The following is a 21,394-nucleotide window of genomic DNA, read 5'->3' as shown; positions in this document are numbered from 1 at the left end:
CAGAAGCCACCCCCAGAAGCCACCGGTCCCCACTCACGGCCGGGGGTGTCCCGTGACCTGCTTGATAACCTGGCAGTAAATCTCATCCCTCAGCTTCTCCTGCTGGCACAGCTGTGGGGACAGGAAGGGCAGGTGGGGTGAGGGATGGCAGCGGTGAGCCTGGGGTCTGAAGCCCTGGAGAAACCCTGCTAGGCCATGGGCTGGGGCTGGCTCAAGATGTCTCTCTCAGCTTAAGACATCACTGCACTGGCTACTCAGTTACTTTCTTCGCTGCTCCCGTCTCCCTCTGTCACACAGGCTGGAATGCAATGGCATGATCTCAGCTCACTGCAATCTGCTTCCCAGGTTCAAGCAATTCTCCTGCCTCAGCCTCCCAAGTATTAATAGGCGCGTGCCACCACGCCCAGCTAACTTTTGTATTTTTAGCAGAGATGGGGTTTCACTACGTTGGCCAGGTTTAATCTCGAACTCCTGACCTCAGGTGATCCACCCGCCTTGGCCTCCCAAAGTGCTGGGATTACAGATGTGGGCCTCCGTGCCCGGCCTTTTCATTTATTTTTTATTTTTTTGAGACAGTCTTGCCCTGTCACCCAGGCTGGAGTGCAGTGGTGCCATCTTGGCTCACTGCAACCTCCACCCTCCTGGGTTCTAGCGATTCTCCTGCCTCAACCTTCCGAGTACTACAGGTGTGCTCCACCACGCCCAGCTAATTTTTGTGTTTTTAGTAGAGACGGGGTTTCACCATGTTGGCCGGGCTGGTCTGCAACTCCTACCTCAGGTGATCCACCTGCCTCGGCCTCCCAAAGTGCTGGGGTTACAGGCGGGAGCCGCCGCGCCCGGCCCCTGCTTCTCTGATCTCTTACTCATCTCTGCTGGCTCCACCTTAACTCCCTGACCTCTGAGCGGTGCTGTGCCCTTGAACCTCTCTCTGTCTGCCCTTCTCCCCGTGTCCTCAGCTGGTCCCATTTGATGACTCCTGGTGCCTGCCTCCAGCCTTCTCCCTTGAACCCCAGACTCCTCCACTGGGAAGTCTGGGATTTCAGACCTCACGTGTCCAAAACAGATTTCCTCCACCAGCCAAGACCTGCTCCTTGAAGACAGTAGTTGTCCTCCTTCCCGTAGCCCACATGCAATTGGTCAGCACACTCTGCTGGCTCAATCTTCTGCTTCTCCCTTGCTGCCAGCACCATCCCTCACCTGGGACCACTGCAATAACTTCCTTTTGCTTTTAAACTTAGACACCCAGAATCTCAAACAACAGCCGAGTGACCCTGTGAAATGTAAGCCGAGTCTCTCTCCAGAATCCTCTGGTGGTTTCCCATCTCTCCAAAAATCAGAGGCCAATGATGGCTACAAGGCCTGTGGTGGCCTGGACCCACCATCCGCTCCCCATCCTCATCCTCCGTTCTCCCTGCAGCTCACTAGGCTCAGCCACGCTGGTCCCGGTGCGTGATGGTGCCGAGGCTTCCCCCCACATCTGAACTGTTGCCTGCCCTTCTCTGTCACCCCGTGCTCACTCCTTCCCTCCCTGTAGGAAGGCTTCTGCCACAAAGCCTTCTCCACTGCAGCAGCCCCTTCCCTGCATTCTTACTCTCCAGTGACCTCTCACTCCCAGACACATAAGTTATCTCATTGTAAGCACTGCAGAGACTTAGCCTGTTGGCTTCACAGCCACACCCCCCTGCACGCAATGGGTGCTCAGTAAATACTTTGGAATGATTTGAAGGACAGTGACCAAGAGAAGGGGATCTCCTTCAGGCCCAGACAGGAGGACAGGCACAGGCGCTGGGGGTCGCACAGCCCAGGCTTACCTTCAGCAGTTCATAGAGCAGATCCATCTCATCCTTGCCCCGGGGCTTGGACTGGTCACCCATAAACCGCATCAGGGCTGCAGGCACGATAAGAAACAGGGCACATAGCTGGGGCTGTGCTGGGGCTGGCCCCGGCTCATGCTGTTGCTGTGCAGGGCCTTCACCTGCCATCTGATGCCTCACTCTCAAAATGCATAGATGCCAGCCAGGGCAGCTGGTTGCAGCTCGACTCATGGGGAAACTGAGGCTCCTGGGTATCCAAGGCCCCACACAGCACATAGCATCCTCTGGACCCATGGACTGCCTTCCAACCCCAGACTCCACACAACCCACAACCCTTGAGTGGGAGTAGAAGCGGGTGAGGGCCCTGGGGTCCAGGAACCACCAGTGAGCTTCCCGGAGTTGGCAGACTGGGACAGAGCCAGGCAGAGCTCAAGGAGATAAGGGGACCAGACACCCAGGTTCATGGCACTGCAGACATGGGGACCCAGGATGCCTGTGGCCACTCACCCAGGAAGCTGGCTACAGCCAGCTTGCTCACATCATCACTGAGGCTGAGGAGCGACTCCTGGATGGGAGCCTGTGGCCAAAGAGAGGAGGCCATGGGTCTGGGGGGCCGTGGGGGTCAGAGGGCAGATCTACGGGCCAGACCCCTCCCTGCCTCTCTCCCACCTTGGTGTACTGCACCAGGCTGTCCGTGTCCTTTCCTGCGGCACCTCCATCAGTCTGGCCCAGCCTGTGGGGGGCAGAGGGAGACAGCCCAGCTTGTTTGGCCCTCCTGCCTTCATCCCAGCCAGCCAGGCAGGGAGAGTGCTAAGAGCACAGCCCAGTGGCTCTGAGCAGGGTGCTCTCTCTCAGGAAGACTGAGGACAGACAGGCACAGGGGTTGGCCCAGTGCACTCACAAGGCCTGGGACCTCCGGAAGTAACGCCGGGCGAATTCCTGCATGGTGTAGCTGTGGGAGTCGGGCAGAAAGGCATAGGCCACAGAGGACAGGCTGGTGGCCTCCGAGTCGTCACTGTGTGCCTGGCTCCAAGGGTGGGCAGGGCGCTGGGATCACAAGAAACCTGGTGCCACCTGAGTGTCCAGTGCCCTGTCCCAGGGGTCCTGCCCCAGCCCCATCCCTCCCCAGCCAGACACCAAAGGAGCAAGACCAGAAGCCAGGAAAGTGAAGAGCTGTTTATTAAGCATCTGCTGGGGCAGCCTTGAACTAAGTACCACGTGGGACACAAGAGCAGCATCCAGCCCAGCCCCTGCCTGCAAGGAGTGCACAGTCTTGCTGGAGAGACAAGGCGAGCCATCAGGAGCGGGCAGAGGGGCAGCCACAGGAGACGGACAGCAGGGTGGTCCCACCGCATGGCAGCCTCGGGAGTGGTCAAACCCCTTTCCTTCCTCAGTCTCAGGCAGGCCTTGCCTCTGCTTGTCCCTCTCCCATCTTCCTCACCTCTGAGGCCCTGTCCCACCGAGCCAGCCCTGGTTCCCCGTTGGACAGCTGACCCTTGTGCCAGCCACTCCTCTGCTCCTTGGAGAAGGAAAAGTCGGGAGCGGCAGCCGGCTGCACTATGTCGGCAGGAAAGAGTCCGGAACGGCCCCCGGCAGAGCCAAACTGCCAGCCTGGAAGGCACCCAGGGATGTGGCTCACCCACTGGACCCTCTGCCCCCGGGCAGCCTCTGCCAAGTGGATGCCCTCCCTGTGTGAGCCCCTGCCGGCCTCTGGCGATACCTGGCTCCAGGGTGGCCACCGGCAGCAGCTTGATGAGGTCCCCACGGTGGAAGCTGAGGAGGCTGCAGTTGTCAGTGATGTAGCTGCGCAGGGCGATGACATAGCCGGAGTCCTGTGGGCAAGCAGGCGAGGGCCTGGAGCAGCAAGTCTGCCTGTGCCTCCCTGTCCTGCCTGCCCACCTGCTCCCCCTGCTGGCCTGCCCCTCCACCTAGCACCCCAGACTTCCAGGGATTTGGCCCAAACTCCCAGCCCCTGCCCCCACAGGGAAGACGGACAGGGAGATGCAGCATCGGTGAGGGCTGTCTGCCCGGCCTCTCAACCCGTGCCCCACACTTACCTTCTTAAGCTCATTCAGGAATAGCTCAACCAGCGCCTCGATGGCCCTTGCCCGGGCTGTGTGCAGCACCAGCTGCTCGCTCTTCAGTGACAGCTCCAGGGTGGAGCCGCCCCGGCACTCCACACCCAGCACCTCCGCAAAGCTGCGCAGGGATCGGGCATGAACTGAGGTCACCTTGCCACCTGCCCCCACCTCTAGCCCAGGGTCGTGGGCTAGCGCACCTGTATGAGCAGAGAATCTTCAGCTGGTCGGGGCGGAGGCCGGGGCCTTGGGTCACCTTGAGCAGTCGCAGCCCACGGTGGGACACGGCTAACAGCTGCACGTCGCTGCCACTCTCGCCCTACAGGAAGGTGGTGGGTCTCGGGCAGTCTCCTGGGTCCTGCTACTGCCCAAGATGCCCTGGAGCTGCCCAGGGCCAGTGGCTGGGCTTTGTCCTTCCCCTGGCGTCTGCTCCCCGGCTCTCCTGCTTGTGGTCTGTGCCCATGCACCCCAGGATCCAGGCTGGGGGCCTGGCATCCCTACTCCCTACCCCAGCGCCACTGACCGAGACAGGAAAGAAGCGGGAGAAGTAATTGGCCCAGTTGTCCCGAGCGGCCACCACGATGCGCTTCTTGACGCTGTCTTCGGTGGTGGTGAGAGAATCCAGGTCCACCTCCAAGCCTCCTGTGGGCAGGAAGGACCCAGGCTGCCCTCTGCTCACACAGAGGGGGCTCTAGAGTTTGCTCCCATGCTGCTCCCTCCTTCAGGGCAGGCGCGGCCCCCAGCACTCAAGCTCCCAACTCCATGGTCCCTGGACCCATACCCAGCAGGTCTTTCATTTTCCGCCGCTCATTCTGGGAAATCCGGATACAGGACTCGGAGAAGGTGTCCCGTAGGATCTGGGGGCAGAGCGAGGTGGTCACCACCAGGTCCTGAGACAGAGCCCACCCCCAGAGCAGCCATCCACATGCATGAAGGAAAACCTGAGGAGGCCGATGGAGGGCGCCCTGGCCCCCATGGCCTGTGTGCTCAGCAGAGGGCCTAGGTGGGGCAGGGAGGGATGGAGGGCTTGGGCCACCTCCATTCACACGTCTCACCTGTCCCCTCCCCTGCAACTGCCAGCCCTCCCTTTTCACTCACTGCCCAGAGACCCCGTGGTAACTGCCCTTGGATCAGCCCAGATACAAGATTGTTCGGGGCAGGGGGCAGGTGCTACTGCAGAATTAGGGGGAACAGAGGCTCACTCCTGGGAGCGTTCAGAGGTGGCAAAGTGACAACCATTTATTAAGTACCTACTGTGTGCTAGAGCCTGTGTTGTGCACTGTACGCACTTTGCTTTTAAACTTTATCTATAAAACTAGATGAATAATGGTCCCTACTTCTTGTTGTTGTTGAGACACAGTCTCGCTCTGTCACCCAGGCGGGAGTGCAGTGGCACAATCTCGGCTCACTACAACCTCTGCCTCCCGGGTTCAAGCAATTCTCCTGCCTCAGCCTCCCAAGTAGCTGGGGTTACAGGTGCGTGCCACCACGCCTGATTTTTGTATTTTTAATAGACATGGAGTTTCACCATGTTGGCCAGACTGGTCTCGAACTCCTGACCTCATGATCCACCTGCCTTGGCCTCCCAAAGTGCTGGGATTACAGGCATGAGCCACCGCACCTGGCCATGGTCCCTACTTCTCAGGAATGTTGTGAAGGTTCAATGAAGGCAGGTCTGGGCACACAGAAGTGCCCCCCAGTGCTGGCTGCCAACATGCCCTACGTGGTGTTAACCTGGCCCAGCCATTAGACAAAGGGCACGAAGGATGCTGTCTCTGCAGATGTCTCAGGCTGGCAGGTGGGCCAGCTCTCACCTGCTCACAGAGGAGCCTCAGGTAGTAGGGATGGCTGAAGTTCTCCCGTGGGTAGAACACCTGGAGGAGGGCACAGAAGGGCAAAGATCGGTGGGTCTGGTGCCTCTTCCCAGCAAGCCTCTGCCCTCCCAGGCCTGGAAAATCAGCCTTGAGATGGTGGGCTGTGGGGAGGGGATGCTGGGGTCCCAGGCTGGGATGCACAAAGCCTGCCGCCTCCCTGCCAGCCCAAAGAGGCCAGGCCAAGGCCCCACCCTCATGCCCACCTCCTTGCGTAGGAACAACTTCCAGGGCGTGCCGGTGTAGGAGAAGCACACGCTGCCAGAGGGCGCGAGTAGCTGGGTGGAGACCCCCTGGTCCTCCACGGGCTGTGTCAAGCCTGGCAGAGAGGAGGGGGTGAGGAGCCTCAGTGAGGGGCTGCAGAGCCAGAGTGATGGGGGCACGGGAGGGAAGACCTTCATCCCCACGAGCCTTCCAAGGGCCCGGCTCTCCCAACCTCCAGCTGCCTTACTCCTTCCATGGCACCATCTCCTGCCTCCATTTTGGGCCCTAAACTTTCCCTGGCGTCCGTGAGGCTCGTGGGTCTTCTATGACCATGTCAGCCAGGGCCACTAACTTCCTCACAGAGCTGTCGGGTATGTGTCAGGGACAACACCCTGTGTGTGACAGCCTCTCGATGACAGCCCCAAAGATGCCCAGGCCCTGCCCTGGGTGGGAACGCGGAAGCTGGGACTCCCCAGCTACGTATGGCTCCAAAGTCCAGAAGCCCGAACAGCTGGCCTCAGCCACGCAGAAATGCCTTCAGCCCTGGGCACCGAGAGTCTGTGCGAACCCTGCCTCTGCCCCAGTGAAGCCCACGGCGCAGGAGAAATGTGGTTCCTTACAACGACGCTCTGCTGAAAGGGTCCCTGGGTCCTCGGGCAGAGGCAGTGGTGGCGCTGGTGGAGGTGGGGGTGTGTGGGCAATAGGCAGCTTCTGGCCAAACAGGTCCAGAAGGGGCCCCTGCTTTTCCTTGATGGAGCTAGAGGGCCCAAGCTGTAGCGGGGCCTTGGGTCGAGGAGCCACAGCTGGCGGGGGGCCCTTTCCTGGGCTGGGGGACAGCATCTGGGGGGATACGGAGAAAGTACACGGGCTGAGTCACAGCACAAGGCCAAGTTCGCCCCAGAGAGCCTTGAGCTCCCCAGTGCAGCAGCACACACTCTGGGGGAGACAGGCTGGGGTGCTCACCGGCGGGGACGAGTGGGCACCGTTGATACCCAGCTTGGCCAGAGCCTCGTCCTTGGGGTCGATTTTCCTCAGGAAAGCTTTGGGAGGCCTCGTGGGAGAAGCAAGAGGTCACTAAGTTCATAGGGTGATTCCCCGAGGAGCGGGACAGCCCTGGCCACCTCCCCGTGGGGGCCCACCTGGATGGCTGCACGGGCACAGGCACGGGGCCCGGGCGGCTCTGGTACATGCGGATGATGTTGCCAATTTCCCTGCTGGGTTGTGGCCGCTTGGGCTTGGAGTCTGAGCTGCGCACCACAGTCCCCCTGCCTTGGGCTGGCCCTTGGCCATGGCCCTTGGCCGCTGTCTCCTTGGCTGGCTCAGCCTCAGCCTCTTTTGGAGCTTTGGCCCCACCTTGCTTCAATGGCTTCTTCACGATGGGGGGAGGAGGAGGGGACGGCACTGACCAGGAAACAGGAAAGACTGTTAACCGCGTGCAGAGCCACCGGAGCCCCAGGCCCTGCCCAGCTCCCCACAACCTGCTCTTGTTTCCACTTCTTGCTCCTCCTGCTCCTCCTCCTCCTCCTCCTCCTCCTCCTCCTCCTGCGCTTCCCCCTGGGGGATGTGGACCTTGGCCGGGGGCTTCATCGTCCTCACTGTGATCTGTGGCTGCCCTGCAAGTGTCCAGATGGCCTTCAAAGTTACCCATACTGGCCCAGCTGGGCTCCTGGATGGGCCGCACCAACTCCGGGGAGCAGAGCACACCCCACCCTCCCTGGCCCGGGCCAGGGGCACTGGCCATGTTTCTGCACGGTCCTGCCACCCCAAGTGCCCTCACCCATCCTCTGGAAATAGTTCCGTTTCTGCTGGAAGCTCTTGGGCTGATAGGGCCTGTCTTCAGCCTCCTCGGAGGTCTCCTGGCAGAAGCAGAAATGAGTGGCAGCTCAGCCAGCCTGGGTGCCACACTCGCCACACCCCTCGGGTCCCCAGTCCTGGGCCAGCAGCCTCTTCCCTGTGTCTGCCTACTCACCCTGCCCATGTCCCCTGCCCCTGCAGTCCCCACCCTCACATCCCTTCCTGAGAATATGGTCACCTCCTCACCCTCAGGCAGCCACCCTCTGATCCCAGGTCACGCTGTGGCTTCTCCGGGGGTGTGGGGGGCTTCCTGGGCTTGGAGGTGACGGCTGAGGGTGAGGCCTGGGACGCAGCCTCGGAGGCCCGAGCCTGCTGCTGCCGCTGCTGCATCTGCTGCTCCAGGGACAGGGACATGGCCTGGGCTGTCATCTGCTGGGCCTGAAGCAGGAGGAGCAGCCAGTTCAGACCCTCATCCCCGAGCCACAGACCTCTCCTCCACCAGGTGGCCCCAGGGCCCTGCCAGCGCTCACCAGGATTAGCGCCTGCTGCTGGATAAAGTTCTGCTGCTGGACGGCCAGCTGCCCTGCATCCAGGCTGGGAAGCGGTGGCTGCGGCGGCACCACCATGGCTGTGAGGGCGGCAGGCGGCCAGAGTGGTGGGCACCATGGCCAGCCTTGAAGCTCGCTGCCCACTGTGCACTCGGGACTCCTAGCAGGACCCTCCCTCCTCCAGTCCCAGAGCTGGTGGCTGCTCTCCTGAGAAGGGACTCTGGTGCCCCCAGCCCAGACTTACCTGGCATGGCAGGGACTGTGCCCATTGCTGGCATCATGGGCATGGGTGCAGGGACCATGCCTGGCTGGTATGCAGGCATCTGAATCATTCCTGGGTACACTGAGGGAACACGCCCTCCCTGTCAGTCCCTGCCTGGGCCCACATGCCACCTCCCTCCAGCCCCAGGCACAGAGAAGAGCATCGGGCACCGGGGTGCTGGCCAGGGCATCGATCGCCACTGCCAGAGGGGTCCCAGGCCATGCCTGCCATGCTGCCGGGCCCGGAGGCCCTGGGTGAGGAATCAGCCCCTCACTCACCCATGGGGTAGCCCTGCTGTGTGGGCCCAATGGCGCCCCCTCCCTTCATGCGGCTGCTCAGAGCCCAGCTTTGTTCCAGATCCTAAAGGGACAATGGTCACAGGTCAGAGTGAGAGCCCTGAGAAAAATGGAAGGGGCAGCAGAGGCCCCGGGGGGTTGGGGCAGGGGCATTTGGGGGCTGTGCCCGACTCACGCTGAGGCCGGAGGATATCACTGGCTGGAAGATCTGGTCCAGGAAGCCGTCCAGGCTCCCTGACCTCTGGACCTCCCCTGTGGGGCAGGGAGAGGGTTGGAGCCATGGCCCGGGGCGTGGGGCTTCCCATGCTCTGCCAACCTCCATGTGCCCACTCCAGCCTTACCTGTGTGGTCCCTGCTGGGCAGCGTTGGGGCTGGACCTGGAGGGGGTCCTGGGGGCAGTGAGGGGGCCTGAATGCCAGGGGCAAGGGGAATGGCCTCGGCTCTGCAGGAAACGGGATCCAGCTAAGGGGGTGGCCAAGGCTGAGGGTCACCCAGGCTGGGGCAAGAGGTAGAAGCTGCTGCGGGGGTCACCCCATGGTTGGGAGGAGGCTGGGTGGGAGGGCTGGGCCTGTGGCAGCTCCTATAAACCCCTGAGTGTGGCAGGGTGGCTGTGGGGTTCCCCGGCAGGAGCAGGCCAGGGAGAGGGGTGCTGGGTGGCACCTACGAGCCAAGAGGAGTGATGGGGTAGCTGCGGGGGCGAGCTGGGTCCCCCAGGTCCTCAGTCTGGCTGATCAGGTCCAGCACAAAGTCGCAGCCAGCCAAGTCCTGCCATGCGTCCCTGGAGTGCAGTGACACAGACCAGCCCCGGGGAGGCGCCTCCAGGCCTCTGGGTGGGAGGGGACCAGTCAGTGAGGCAGGCGGCCATCCAGAAGGGGGCAAGGACCACAGGGTGGGCCAAGGGGGCAGGGGGCTGAGGAAGGGAGGGTGGCCCTGGATCCGCCTGGTCCGGGACCCAGGTTTGCTCAGCAGTGGGGGCTGCTCCCCTCCTCACCTCACGGCCCTCCACTTCCACAAGGGCTCCAGCATGGGCATTTCTTTTCTGACCTGCTGAGTTAGAATCTGCCGTGGGAGCTCCCAAGCCCCTCATTCCTAATCTGCCCCCGGCTCCCCATCGCCATCTGCAGTCTGGCCCCTGCCCACCCCGGGGCACCTCTCCTCCCGGCCCCTGAGACTGGGCTTGGAGAAGGAGGAGGGTATAGGACAAGGGTCACTTTGGCCACACTGTCCCCCATCCCCGGTCCCCATACCTGCTCTGCAGGATCCACCCAGCCAGCTGCTCCCCGGTGGTCCAAGACTCCACCTCGGCCGAGTAGCACTCCTCTGCAGGGGCATGGGGGGCGGGGGCAAGAGTGAGGGACAGCAGAGTCCACCCTGACAGGAAGGGGCTGCTGTCCCCATGAGAGTTTCAAAAGCAGGACAGAGGGGAGGGGGATCAGGGTCACTGAGGACAGGGCAGCAGGAAGACTGGGGCAGGAAGGGGTTCCAGGGAGGGCAAAGGGGTAGGGCTGGCCCCACTTCAGGCCTGGGAGGCCTCAGCCAGAGGCAGCCCTCACCGCTGAAGGTGAACACATCCAGCGCCATGCGGCCCCGCCGCCATCCGGCCAGCCACTCCAGCTGGGTCGGGGGGTGGGCCCGAGTGGCCCCCGAGGCCAGCTGCGACTGCTCCAAGGCCCCCAGCAGCTTGTGCTGGCACAGCGCTGCCATGCCCCTGGGGGCCTGGTCAGACACGAACCTGCAGGGCGGGCACAGGCTGCAGTGGAGGCAGGGTGATCCAGCGACCCCACCTGCCAGGTCCCCACCTCCCAGGCCCCTTACTTGAGCAGTGGCTTCTGTAGGACAGGCAGTGGGGGAAAGGCGCTGAGCAAAACAGCCATGAGGGCCCAGCCACGCTGGCTCTGCTGTTCATCTGGGTTCTGCCATAGCTGGGCCACCAGCTGGCTAAAGAGCTCATTCCGCAGCCCTGGCCGGCACTGCCCCTGCCGCACCAGGTATGCGCCCATGATCTGCCTCTGCCAGGACTCCAGGGATCCGTCCCCCAGGAGCCGCAGCATCTGCCGACACAGCCGGGTAAGGACAGGACGTGCGGGGCTCCCAGGCGCCTATCCTGTCCCTTCTCCAATGTGTCACTCACCACTTTGTTGATGTCCAGGGCACGCTGAGGGTTGTCTCCATCCAGCTGGGTTAGGGGCTTCGCCAGTGGCTGCCCTGGCCTGGGCAGGGACGGTTCCTGCAAGGAAGGAGAGGGCTCAGTCCATGCTCACCAGCTATCAGACAGCCCAGGGGAGCCCCACCGGAGCAGGCACCTCGGGAGAGGCAGAGGGGCTGGACAGAAATGCATCTTAATGCCTTTTTTTTTTTTTTGAGGCAGAGTCTTGTCTGTCGCCCAGGCTGGAGTGCAGTGGCACAATCTCAGCTCACTGCAGCCTCCACCTCCCAGGTTCAAGTGATTCTCCTGTCTCAGCCTCCTGAGTAGCTGGGACTACAGGCGCATGTCTGGCTAATTTTTGTATTTTTAGTAGAGACGGGGTTTCACCATGTTGGCCAGGCCGGTCTCAAACTCCTGACCTCAGGTGATCCACCCACCTCGGCCTCCCAAAAGTGCTGGGATTACAAGCATGAGCCACCATGTCCAACCTGTATGTGCAGTTTTGAACCTGCATTTGTATTTACTGCTGAAGTCTGGACAATTTCCCTTGTCAATAAACATTCTTTAAGGTCATGACTTCAAAAGCAGGGCACTACCGCAGGTACAACAAAGGTGTGGCATCGTGGATCTAAATAACGTCTCCCATTCAATAACACCAACTGTTATCTCCAGTAACGCTCTATGGTGAGACAATTACATTCAACGGTTATTTTCAGAGCAATTCAGCGCTACTCACAGCCCCAAAGGCTGGGGAGGAAGGAGGGCAAGAGCTGACAGCGGGGAAAAAAACGCAGCATCTGTCAGGCAGGTGCTAACTCAGAGCGGTGAGGCCAGCGGGAAGAGCTTAGGCCTGGGCGCCCACCTGAAAGCCGATGGCGACGAAGCTGGAGAAAGGGAACAGGTCAATGTCTGCTGGGAGAGTCAGGCTGGGCCGGGCAGGAACCTCAGGCGGCAGGCACTCGGTGATGCTCCCAGCCAGGGCGTCCCGATGGCCTGGGAACAAGCACCGGGAGGCAGCCCAGGAGCATCCAGGTGTGGTACCTGGCCCTGGGACCACCTCCATCCCTCACCACGAGCCATCAGCCCCTGTCCACAGGGACCCAAGTGATGAGCTCAGGGGAGTCTGGAGCATCAGAGGGAGGAACCACAAGGGACAGACACACCCCACAGTAAAGGGACTGGAGAAGGAGTCCTAACAAGAGGACACCAACAAGACTCACTTTCCGCCGTCTTCAGCATGACGGCCAGCTCAGCCGGGATCTCCAAGCGCCCCAGCTCCTGGCAGAGGGGACTCATTTACCCAGGATCCACAGGAGGGGCCTAGGGACCAGTGTCCCTCCCCACACCCTCAACCCCAAGATTATAAACATCCCTTCCAAAGACCACGGATTTTTTTTTTTTTTTTTTTTTGAGGCAGGGTCTCACTCTGTCACCCAGGCTAGAGTGCAGTGGTACCATCATGGCTCACTGCAGCCTTGACTTCTGAGGCTCTAGCTCAAGCGATCCTCCCACCTCAAACCTCCTGAGTAGCTGAGACTATAGGCATGTGCTACTGTGTCCAGCTAATTTTTATTGTTTTTGTAGAGATGGGGTCTTGTCATGTTGCCCAGGCTGGTCTCAAATTCCTGGGCTCAAGCAATCCTCACACCTCGACCTCAAAGTGCTGGGATTACAGGTGTGTGCCACCACACCCAGCCAAAGACCAAGGATTCTGACCCTGGACACTCGAACAAACAGAGCCCCAAAGACCCTCTGAGGGAAACCAAGAGCCAAGAGCACCCCGGTCCTCTTCTCAGGAGGTGCAATGCATGGCCCTGAGGGACAAGACCCACGGTAGCACCCTGGCAGCCCTCTAAGCTGTCCCAGTCTCAGCAGGTTCATAGCCCCATGTAAAACCCCCCACTTTCCAGGCCACCTACCATGCTTGGCACTCTCTCCAAGGCCCTTTCGCTGCTATGCCAGCCCTGCCAACGCCCAAGCTGTTGGAAGAGATGTGGGAAGAGCTGATGCCTCCCATGTGAGTCACCTGGGGGCACCTCCCCAGCTCTGAAGTTCAGCTGTCCCCTCCTGCCCCTGGGAGGTTCTCAGCAAAGGAGTGAGAACAGATCAGGAGGGGCCAGCCACCCCTGGCCCTCCAGGGCCCTCACCAGCCTTAGCACTGTGGGCGTCTGTGCCCATCTGCCAGGGCACCGGGAAGAGGGCAGGAAGAAGGGAAGAAATGGTCCCAGGGGACAAAGTCCAGCCAGGGAGGGGCCAGAGAGGGGGTAGCACGTGGGCATTGACCTTTGAGTCGCTTTATAGACCTTAGATTTGAGTCATCATGCAAAAGAGGGGAGCGGACGGGGCCCAGGGGAGGCCTGGAGGGGATGGGAACCCCAGGCAAGAGGGAAGAGCCAGGCCCTGGGGAGAGTAGGCAGGGATGGAGGAAGACAGCACCTCCCAAGGGCCCCGGCCTACCCCGGCCGGAGGGAAAAGGGATGAGTTCAAGGAGCACTGTGTCTGAAGCCACAGCCCGTGCGAGGCCGGGCTGAGAGGGTCAACGCTGCTGGGATTTGGCCAGCTCGGCCAGCTCAGGCAGCCTGGCTTCTACCCTGAACCGCCCCACCCAAGCCCCTGCACCTGCAGTCTCTGCCGCCTCTGGAGCAGGGGCTGGGCCACCAGCAGGATGGTGTTCAGCTGTCCCAAAGCTGCCCGCCGCCGGAGGTACCGCTTCCTGGAGGCCGGGAAAGAGCGGGGGCGAAATGAAGAGTCCAAACTTATGCTTCCTGCCTGGCACTGGAATCCCTTAAGCCTGACATTCATGTAAAAACTGACTTTGGACCAGAGAAGCCCTGGATGCTTCACAGAAACGACAGGAAAAGAATAGGATACTTCAAAAGAAAAGCAAGGGTCGGGTGCGGTGGCTGATGCCTGTAATCCCAGCACTTTGGGAGGCCAAGGCGGGTGGATCACTTGAGGTCAGGAGTTCAAGACCAGCCTGGCCAACATGGTGAAACCCCGTCTACTAAAAATACAAAAATTACAGCACACCTGTAATCCCAGCTCCTCAGGAGGCTGAGGCACCAGAATCACTTGAACCTGGGAGGTGGAGATTCAAGTGAGCCGAGATCGCGCCATTGCACTCCAGCCTGGGTGACAGACCAAGACTCCATCAGGAAGGGAGGGAGGGAGGGAGGGAGGGAGGAAGGAAGGAAGGGAAGGAAGGAAAGAAAGAGAGAGAGGAGGAGGGAGGAGGGAGAGAGGGAGGAAGGGAGGAAGGAGAACGAGTAAATTGAGAGACTGTTTAGCCTGAGGGATTAAGATCTGACTCTCTGACCCTGGGCCTAGAATACCTGGGTTCAGATCAGTTCCCCATATGCACACTGACCAAAAAAAAAAAAAAAAAAAAAAAAATCATTTCCCTTAGCTTGGTACGGTAGCTCATGCCTGTAATCCCAGCACTCTAAGAGGCTGAGGAAGGAGAATTGCTTGAGACCAGGAGTTCAAGACCAGCCTGGGCAACATAGCAAGACCTCATCTCTACAAAAAAGATTTTTTAAATTAGCCAGGCATGACGGCGTGTCCTTGTAGTCCTAGCTACTTGGGAGGCTGAGGTAGGAGCTATGACTGGGTCACTGCTCTTTAGCCTGGGTGACAAAGTCAGACCCTATCTTGCAAAAAAAAAAAAAAGAGCAGCAGAACTTATTAAAAAGTAACACCACTGGTCGGGTGCAATGGCTCATACCCGTATGACACCTGTAATCCCTGTACCTTGGGAGGCTCAAGTGGGAGGATCACTAGAGACCAGGAGCTTGAGACCAGCCTGGCCAACACGGTGAATCCCCGTCTCTACTAAAAATACAAAAAAGGCCAGGCGTGGTGGCTCACGCCTATAATCCCAGCACTTTGGGAGACCGAGGCGGGCAGATCACGAGGTCAGGAGTTCAAGACCAGCCTGGCCAACATAGTGAAACTCTGTCTCTACTAAAAATACAAAAATTAGCTGAGCATGGTGGCAGGTGCCTGTAGTCCCAGCTACTTCATAGGCTGAGGCAGGAGAATCGCTTGAACCCAGGAGGCGGAGGTTGTATTGAGCTGAGACCAAGCCATTGCACTCCAGCCTGGGCAACAGAGCGAGACTCCATCTCAAAAGAAAAACAACAACAACAACAAAATTAGCCGGGCTTGGTGGCCTATGCCCGTAATCCCAGCTACTCCAGAGGCTGAGGCACGAAATCACTTGAAACCAGTAGCTGGAGGTTGCAGTGAGCTGAGATCATGCTGCTGCTGGAGTGCAATGGCGCGATCTCGGCTCACTTGAATCTCCGCCTCCCAGGTTCAAGTGATTCTCGTGCCTCAGCCTCCTGAGGAGCTGGGATTACAGGTGTGACCCAGCTGCACTCCAACTTGGATGATATAGCAAGACTCTGTCTCAAAAAAATTTTTTTAATAAAAAATAATAATTATAAAAAATAAAGGCCGGGTGCAGTGGCTCATGCCTGTAATCCCAGTACTTTGGGAGGCTGATCACCTGAGGTGGATCACCTGAGGTCAGGAGTTCGAGACCAGCCTGGCCAACATAGTAAAACCCCATCTCCACTAAAAACACAAAAATTAACTGGGCATGGTGGCAGGTGCCTGTAATCCCAGCTACTCGGGAGGCTGAGGCAGGAGAATGGCTTGAATCCAGGGGGCAGAGGTTGCAGTGAGCTGAGATGGCGCCACTGCACTCCAGCCTGGGTGACAGAGCGAGATTCTGTCTCAAAAATTAATTAATTAATTAAAAACTAAAAACGGGCAGAGGAGAAACAGACATTTCTCCAAAGGAGTGGCACTAATGTCTGAGATGCTCAACGTCATTAGTCCTAGAGAAATGCACATCAAAGCCATAATGAGATGCCACTTCACACCCACTAGCAGGGCTATGATTTTAAAAATGGAAAAGAATAAGTACTGGCAAGGATGTAGAGAAACTGGAACCCTTGTACATTGCTGGTAGAAACATAAAATGATGCAGCCACTATGGAAAGCAATTTGGCAGCTCCTCAGAAAGTTAAACATAGAATTACCATATGATAGAATTACCAGCACTTTCACTCCTTGGCCTATACCCCAAAGATTTGTAAACAGACTAGAACAGGCCGGGTGCAGTGGCTCACGCCTGTAATCCCAGCACTTTGAGAGGCTGAGGCGGGTGGATCGACTCAGAAGACAGGAGTTCAAGACCAGCCTGGCCAACATGGTGAAACCCCGTCTCTACTGAAAATATGAAAAATTAGCCGGGCGTGGTGGCGGGTGGTGGGTGCCTGTAATCCCAGTTACTCAGGAGACTGAGGCAGGAGAATTGCTTGAACCTGGCAGGCAGAGGTTGCAGTGAGCCGAGATCGAGCCACTGCATTCCAGCCTGGGCAACAGAGCAAGACTCCATCTCAAATAATAATAATAATAATAATAATAATAATAATAATTAATTATTAACCCTCAAGCCTGGAACTGAATGAATTTCTGACACATGCTACAACATGGATGAACTTTGAAACATTATGTTAAGTGAAAGAAGCCAGTCGTAAAAGGAAATATTGTATGAGTCAACTTACAGGAAGTATCTAGAATGGGCAACTTCATAGAGACTCAAGTAGACTGAAAGTTACCAGGGGCTGGGGGTCTTGGGGGCAATAGTTACTGCTTAATGGGTCCAGAGTTTCTGTTTGCGGGATGAAAACGTGTTGGAAATAGATAGTGGAGATGCCTGGCTCCCCCGATGTTCTGCACTGTCTTCACTTCATTCTCAGCCCTCGAGTTACTCTCTGGGAAGATCACTGGCTGCTCTACCATCTGAATCTGACTTCCCAACCAGCCTGGGAGGCCCCGTCTCTGGCATCCCCAGCTCTGTCACCAGCATCTGGCCCAAGGGTAGATGAGGCAGACGGTCAGCCAACAGCTGTTGGAGGAATGTGTGAAGACAGGCTGTGAGGGCGAAAAAGAGATGATTAGGTGAGAAGTGGGAGGGTGGTGTTATAGGAAAGAGAAGTCTAAAGTCACTGCAGGGTAAAAGTCTGGCCTAAATTGGGCTGGGGAGGTAGTCAGGTCCTTAACAACATGATTCATGCTTTGAAAAGATGACTGTAGCTGGGCACGGTGGCTCACACCTGTAATCCCAGCATTTTGGGAGGCTGAGGCGGGCGGATCACCTGAGGTCGGGAGTTCGAGACCAGCCTGACCAACATGGAGAAACCCCGTCTCTACTAAAAATACAAAATTAGCCAGGCGTGGTGGCATATGCCTGTAATCCCAGCTACTCAGGAGGCTGAGGCAGGAGAATCACTTGAACCTGTTAGGTGGAGGTTGCAGTGACCCGAGATCGCACCATTACACTCCAGCCTGGGCAACAAGAGTGAAACTCCATCTCAAAAAAAAATTAGCTGAGTGTGGTGGCACAAGCCTGTAATCCCAGCTACTCGGGAGGCTGAGGCAGGCGAATCACTTGAACCCAGGGGGCAGAGGTTGCAGTGAGCTGAGATCGCGCCACTGCACTCCAGCCTGGGTAACAAGAGCAAAACTCCAACTCAAAAAAAAAAACAAAGATTGTTCCCACAGTGTGGAAAACAGACCAGAAAAGAGAATGATAAAGGAGTCAGGACCACAGGTTCAGGTGGCCTCAGTAGGTAATGAGTTTCTTGTGGCCGGGGTATTCAAGCAGAGGCTGCACGGGTATGGGGGGTAATGCCGTCAAGGAGAGTCACATGCCGATGAGATGGCACTGGGGCAGGATGACTTGCCTTGAGGCCCTATGTTTCCCCAACCCTGCCCCACCACCTGGAGGACGAACCCACGGCCTCACCCCACCCACTTCAGCCCTGGCTCCAACGCCTGCAGACCTGGCCTGGAACCCACGCATGCGAGCCTGCATCCGGGGCAGGACGCGCTGGCGGGAGATGCAGGTGTGGAAGCTGCGGTGCAGGTCGACCAGGGCCTGGGAGCGCTGCTGGTCCCGGAGCTCCTCCAGCCGCTGCCAGCCCTGCTCCTGCAGCAGGACCTGTGGGTAGAGGGGTGGGCTGTAGGCAGGAGCCAGGAGCCAGCCCCTCCTGCTCTCCTCCTCTGGTCTCAGCCTCCTCCCTTCCAGCCAAACCATTTGTTCTTCTGGCCCTGCCGTCCAGCCCTTCTGTCTCCCACCACTTGGATGGATCCCCAAATCCTGGGTTTGTCCCTTTGGGCCCAGAATGCACCTCTCCTTTCCCATTCATGCTGCCCTCTGCACACAGGGATACACACACCCACCTTGGTGGCTCCAAGGTGATAGAGAGGTGATTCGGCCCCCAGCACCTGGCTCAGGACGGCACCACACTTCTCCCGGTCAGAGAGGTCTTCCTGCCCTTCTGACCCCAGGGCCTGGAAGCTGCTCCAAGGATGGAGCTGAGATCAGAATAGCCAGAACCTCCTTTTACACTTTTTTTTTTTTTTTTAAGACGGAGTCTCGCTCTTTTGCCCAGGCGGGAGTACAGTGGCGCGATCTCGGCTCACTGCAAGCTCCGCCTCCCGGGTTCAGGCCATTCCCCTGCCTCAGCCTCCCTAGTAGCTGGGACTACAGGTGCCCGCCACCGCACCCGGCTAATTTTTTGTATTTTTAGTAGAGACAGGGTTTCACCGTGTTAGCCAGGATGGTCTCGATCTCCTGACCTCGTGATCTGCCCGCCTCGGCCTCCCAAAGTGCTGGGATTACAGGCGTGAGCCACTGCGCCCGGCCTTTTTGGTTTTTTTTTTTGAGACAGAGTTTCATTCTCATTGTCCAGGCTGGAGTGCAATGGTGCAATCTCAGCTCACCACAATCTCCACCTCCCAGGTTCAAGTGATCCTCTTGCCTCAGCCTCCCGAGTAGCTGGGATTACTGGCATGCAACACCACGCCCAGCTGATTTTGTATTTTTAGTAGAGACGGGGTTTCTCTATATTGGTCAGCTGGTCTCAATCTCCTGACCTCAGGTGATCTGCCTGCCTTGGCCTCCCAAAGTGCTGGGATTACAGGCGTGAGCCACTGCACCCAAGCCCTTTCACACTTGCTGTACGACACCCTGAGCCCCTCAGTATTTATTTCATTTCTAGATCATTAAAAAATTTGGAAAGTGCCTGCTCTATGCCAGGCGCTCAGCTGGGGGCTGAGACACTGCAGTGAACTTGGGCAGGGAGGGTCTCTGCGCTGGAGCTCAGGGGGAGAACAGGTGAACATGGTGTGCGCAGGAGGCATGAGGGCTGGTTCTGGGCCACGGGAGCAACAGGAATGTGGTTCCCAAGGCCTTCGTCTCCTCGCCACCCAACACAGTAGGTCTCAAGACAAGTTTGTGGGAGGGAGGGAGGGAGGGGTGTGGAAGGGAGGGGCATGGAAGGGAGGGAGGGGCGTGGGAGGGAGGGACGTGGAAGGGAGGGAGGGGCGTGGCAGGAAGGGGTGGGTGGGGGAGTGTTGAAGGACATTTCACAGGTCCAGATGGTGGTACCAGTTTGGCTTAATGGACACTCAGTAGTTAGTCTGTACCAAGCAAGCACCGTGCAGGTTCTGGGGATGTGGGTGACAGTCTGTGGTCACGGGATGCCACAGTGCATCAGGGAATGGCACAGATCAGCAGACCTGGTCTGTGCTGGGTGGAGAGTTGTACCTGGAGGTTCCTCTCACCCAGCTTCCGGGCTCAGGGGTTCTTGTTGGAGGTGACAATTGCTGTAGCTGGTAGGTTTCCAGATGGCAGAGACAGAACGTGCCCCGCCCTGGAGCTTCTCAGGATCTGACTCAAGGCTGGGAACACCCATCCCTACTGCCTGCCTTTTGCTCAGTCCCCCAACCAGGCCATCCCCATTGCCAAGGCCATCACAGGCTAAGGAGGTCCACAGAGCCCTGGGGTGAGGCTGCTGCTCCTAGTAGCTGCCCCCTCCCTTCTGAGGCAGCCACCAGCCCAGCTCAGCTGGACATCAACGAGAAGTGACTCCACCTGCTCCCTCTGTCCCTGTGCTTGGGGTAAACTCCAGCCCTTCAGAGGATTCCCAAGATGCCATCCAGTCAATAGCCAAAGGCCAGATAGGCAAACAACAAAACGGACAATGCCACCAGCTTTTCTTGGAGGTTTCTGAACTCTGGGAACAGAGCTGCCTCTGGGGTTCCTGGCAGCTCCATGTGCCACCCCGCCCCTCCCCGCCCCTCCTGCCCTTCTGAGAGGCTCTTTTCTCACTCCGTCCCCCCTGCCATCTCACTGCTTCAGCCTGCACTCCCTGGACAGCTGCTGTGGGCACTAGACCGTGAGCCCCGCCTAGGGCAGGTACTGCTCCCACCTCATCTCTGGTGCCCAGGCATCAGCACAGGAGAGGTTTGCAGAGAGGAGAAGAAATGACGAATGCGTGGAGGGATGGTGAATGGTAGAAGAGAGTGAGATGGAGAGAGAAAGAGAGAGAGAGAGAGGATGAGAGGACGAGGAGAGAGAGGGAGGGTTGGGTGCTAGGCCCAGTCCTGGGCAGAGTGAGTCCATCTCCAATCAGAAGGACCCCCGGGGCTGCCAGTCACTCCCGGTGGCCTCCTTGTCAGTCCTGCCCCGAGGTGCTGGGCCCCACCTGGCCAGGAAGGCCTCAAAGGGCACACGCACGGGGAAGTTGGCACTGCGGGTGCCCACGGCCTCCAGTATGGCTGCCTGGTGCAGTTGCTCTGTCACATGTCCCACGTCAAAGAGGCCTGGAAGCTGTGGCCACAAGACAGAGCCAAAGACAGCTGGAGTCAAGGGGCCTAGAGCTGTGGGGAGGGAGGTGCAGGGAGGGGGAGGGCCCTGAGGCCAGTTGCTGGGGAGCTCACCTTTCCAGGGTTAGGGGTGAGGCACTGGATGAAATAGACATGGCTCCTGATGAGGGAAAGAGGGGTCACTCGGGCACAGACTGGAGCCCCATACAACTCCCTGGGGTCTGGTGTGGCGGGCGCTGTTCTTACCTGCCCAGCCGGGCTATGAGGTCCTCCAGGGCCTGCTGGAAGCGAGAGGCCAGCGTGGGTCTGCCTCGCCCTCCCCTGGACTGGGGCTCTGCCTCCTGGAACAGGCTGCCCACCAGCTGTGGGGGTGAAGGGCTGAGTCAGCTGGCCGCTGGGGCGTGCCCATCCACCCTGCAGCCCGGGAGAGCCAGAATGGACCAGCCCTCGGCATCCAGACCCTGGCAAGCTCAGCCCATGGCCCAAGGTGCCAGGGACTTGAGGGCCAACCCTTGGGCAAGAGCGCCCAGGGGGAAAAGGACAGAATTGGGGGACAGAGTATGGAGCGGGTGGGGGCCTGGAAGGGCAGATGGGCACCTGGAGCTGGCTCTGGCCAAGCATCTCCACCACAGCAGGGTCCAGCTGATCCCGGTTTCTGTTTAAAAACTTGTGAACCTGCAAGAGACCATGCAGG

General features: G+C 58.8%; 1 protein-coding gene across 31 annotated transcripts in view; it reads right to left on the bottom strand.

Annotated features, from left to right (window-relative positions):
* MYO15B (myosin XVB) overlaps positions 1 to 21,394 on the bottom strand; it is a 39,050-nt gene that overhangs the window by 2,958 nt on the left and 14,698 nt on the right. For 22 of the 31 annotated variants that reach the window (NM_001395058.1, NM_001309242.2, XM_017025120.3 and 19 more), the window contains 39 exons: positions 21,298 to 21,375; positions 20,947 to 21,062; positions 20,815 to 20,860; positions 20,580 to 20,704; positions 18,271 to 18,388; positions 17,871 to 18,028; positions 13,633 to 13,726; positions 12,933 to 12,992; positions 12,234 to 12,291; positions 11,876 to 12,006; positions 10,999 to 11,094; positions 10,683 to 10,918; positions 10,421 to 10,599; positions 10,115 to 10,187; positions 9,532 to 9,693; positions 9,209 to 9,309; positions 9,043 to 9,119; positions 8,850 to 8,931; positions 8,554 to 8,652; positions 8,292 to 8,389; positions 8,008 to 8,199; positions 7,745 to 7,823; positions 7,446 to 7,580; positions 7,107 to 7,368; positions 6,931 to 7,018; positions 6,588 to 6,807; positions 5,970 to 6,082; positions 5,707 to 5,766; positions 4,674 to 4,749; positions 4,416 to 4,534; positions 4,093 to 4,211; positions 3,872 to 4,013; positions 3,535 to 3,646; positions 3,256 to 3,425; positions 2,716 to 2,861; positions 2,484 to 2,547; positions 2,322 to 2,391; positions 1,812 to 1,888; positions 38 to 111 (listed from right to left, as the gene is read on the bottom strand). In NM_001395058.1, the coding sequence (NP_001381987.1) occupies positions 38 to 111; positions 1,812 to 1,888; positions 2,322 to 2,391; positions 2,484 to 2,547; positions 2,716 to 2,861; positions 3,256 to 3,425; positions 3,535 to 3,646; positions 3,872 to 4,013; positions 4,093 to 4,211; positions 4,416 to 4,534; positions 4,674 to 4,749; positions 5,707 to 5,766; positions 5,970 to 6,082; positions 6,588 to 6,807; positions 6,931 to 7,018; positions 7,107 to 7,368; positions 7,446 to 7,580; positions 7,745 to 7,823; positions 8,008 to 8,199; positions 8,292 to 8,389; positions 8,554 to 8,652; positions 8,850 to 8,931; positions 9,043 to 9,119; positions 9,209 to 9,309; positions 9,532 to 9,693; positions 10,115 to 10,187; positions 10,421 to 10,599; positions 10,683 to 10,918; positions 10,999 to 11,094; positions 11,876 to 12,006; positions 12,234 to 12,291; positions 12,933 to 12,992; positions 13,633 to 13,726; positions 17,871 to 18,028; positions 18,271 to 18,388; positions 20,580 to 20,704; positions 20,815 to 20,860; positions 20,947 to 21,062; positions 21,298 to 21,375 (4,505 nt within the window). Of the gene's footprint in view, positions 1 to 37; positions 112 to 1,811; positions 1,889 to 2,321; positions 2,392 to 2,483; positions 2,548 to 2,715; positions 2,862 to 3,255; positions 3,426 to 3,534; positions 3,647 to 3,871; positions 4,014 to 4,092; positions 4,212 to 4,415; positions 4,535 to 4,673; positions 4,750 to 5,706; positions 5,767 to 5,969; positions 6,083 to 6,587; positions 6,808 to 6,930; positions 7,019 to 7,106; positions 7,369 to 7,445; positions 7,581 to 7,744; positions 7,824 to 7,999; positions 8,200 to 8,291; positions 8,390 to 8,553; positions 8,653 to 8,849; positions 8,932 to 9,042; positions 9,120 to 9,208; positions 9,330 to 9,531; positions 9,694 to 9,858; positions 9,915 to 10,114; positions 10,188 to 10,420; positions 10,600 to 10,682; positions 10,919 to 10,998; positions 11,095 to 11,875; positions 12,007 to 12,233; positions 12,292 to 12,932; positions 12,993 to 13,160; positions 13,308 to 13,632; positions 13,727 to 16,675; positions 16,936 to 17,870; positions 18,029 to 18,270; positions 18,389 to 20,579; positions 20,705 to 20,814; positions 20,861 to 20,946; positions 21,063 to 21,297; positions 21,376 to 21,394 lie in introns of those variants that run through there. The other 9 variants (XM_017025125.3, XM_047436797.1, XM_017025138.3 and 6 more) reach the window with 9 other exon arrangements.

Source organism: Homo sapiens, chromosome 17 (genome assembly GCF_000001405.40).
Source record: "Homo sapiens chromosome 17, GRCh38.p14 Primary Assembly".
NCBI lineage: Eukaryota > Metazoa > Chordata > Mammalia > Primates > Hominidae > Homo > Homo sapiens.
The sequence above is the reverse complement of the archived record's forward strand: the minus strand, read 5'-3'. Positions and strand labels throughout refer to the sequence as shown.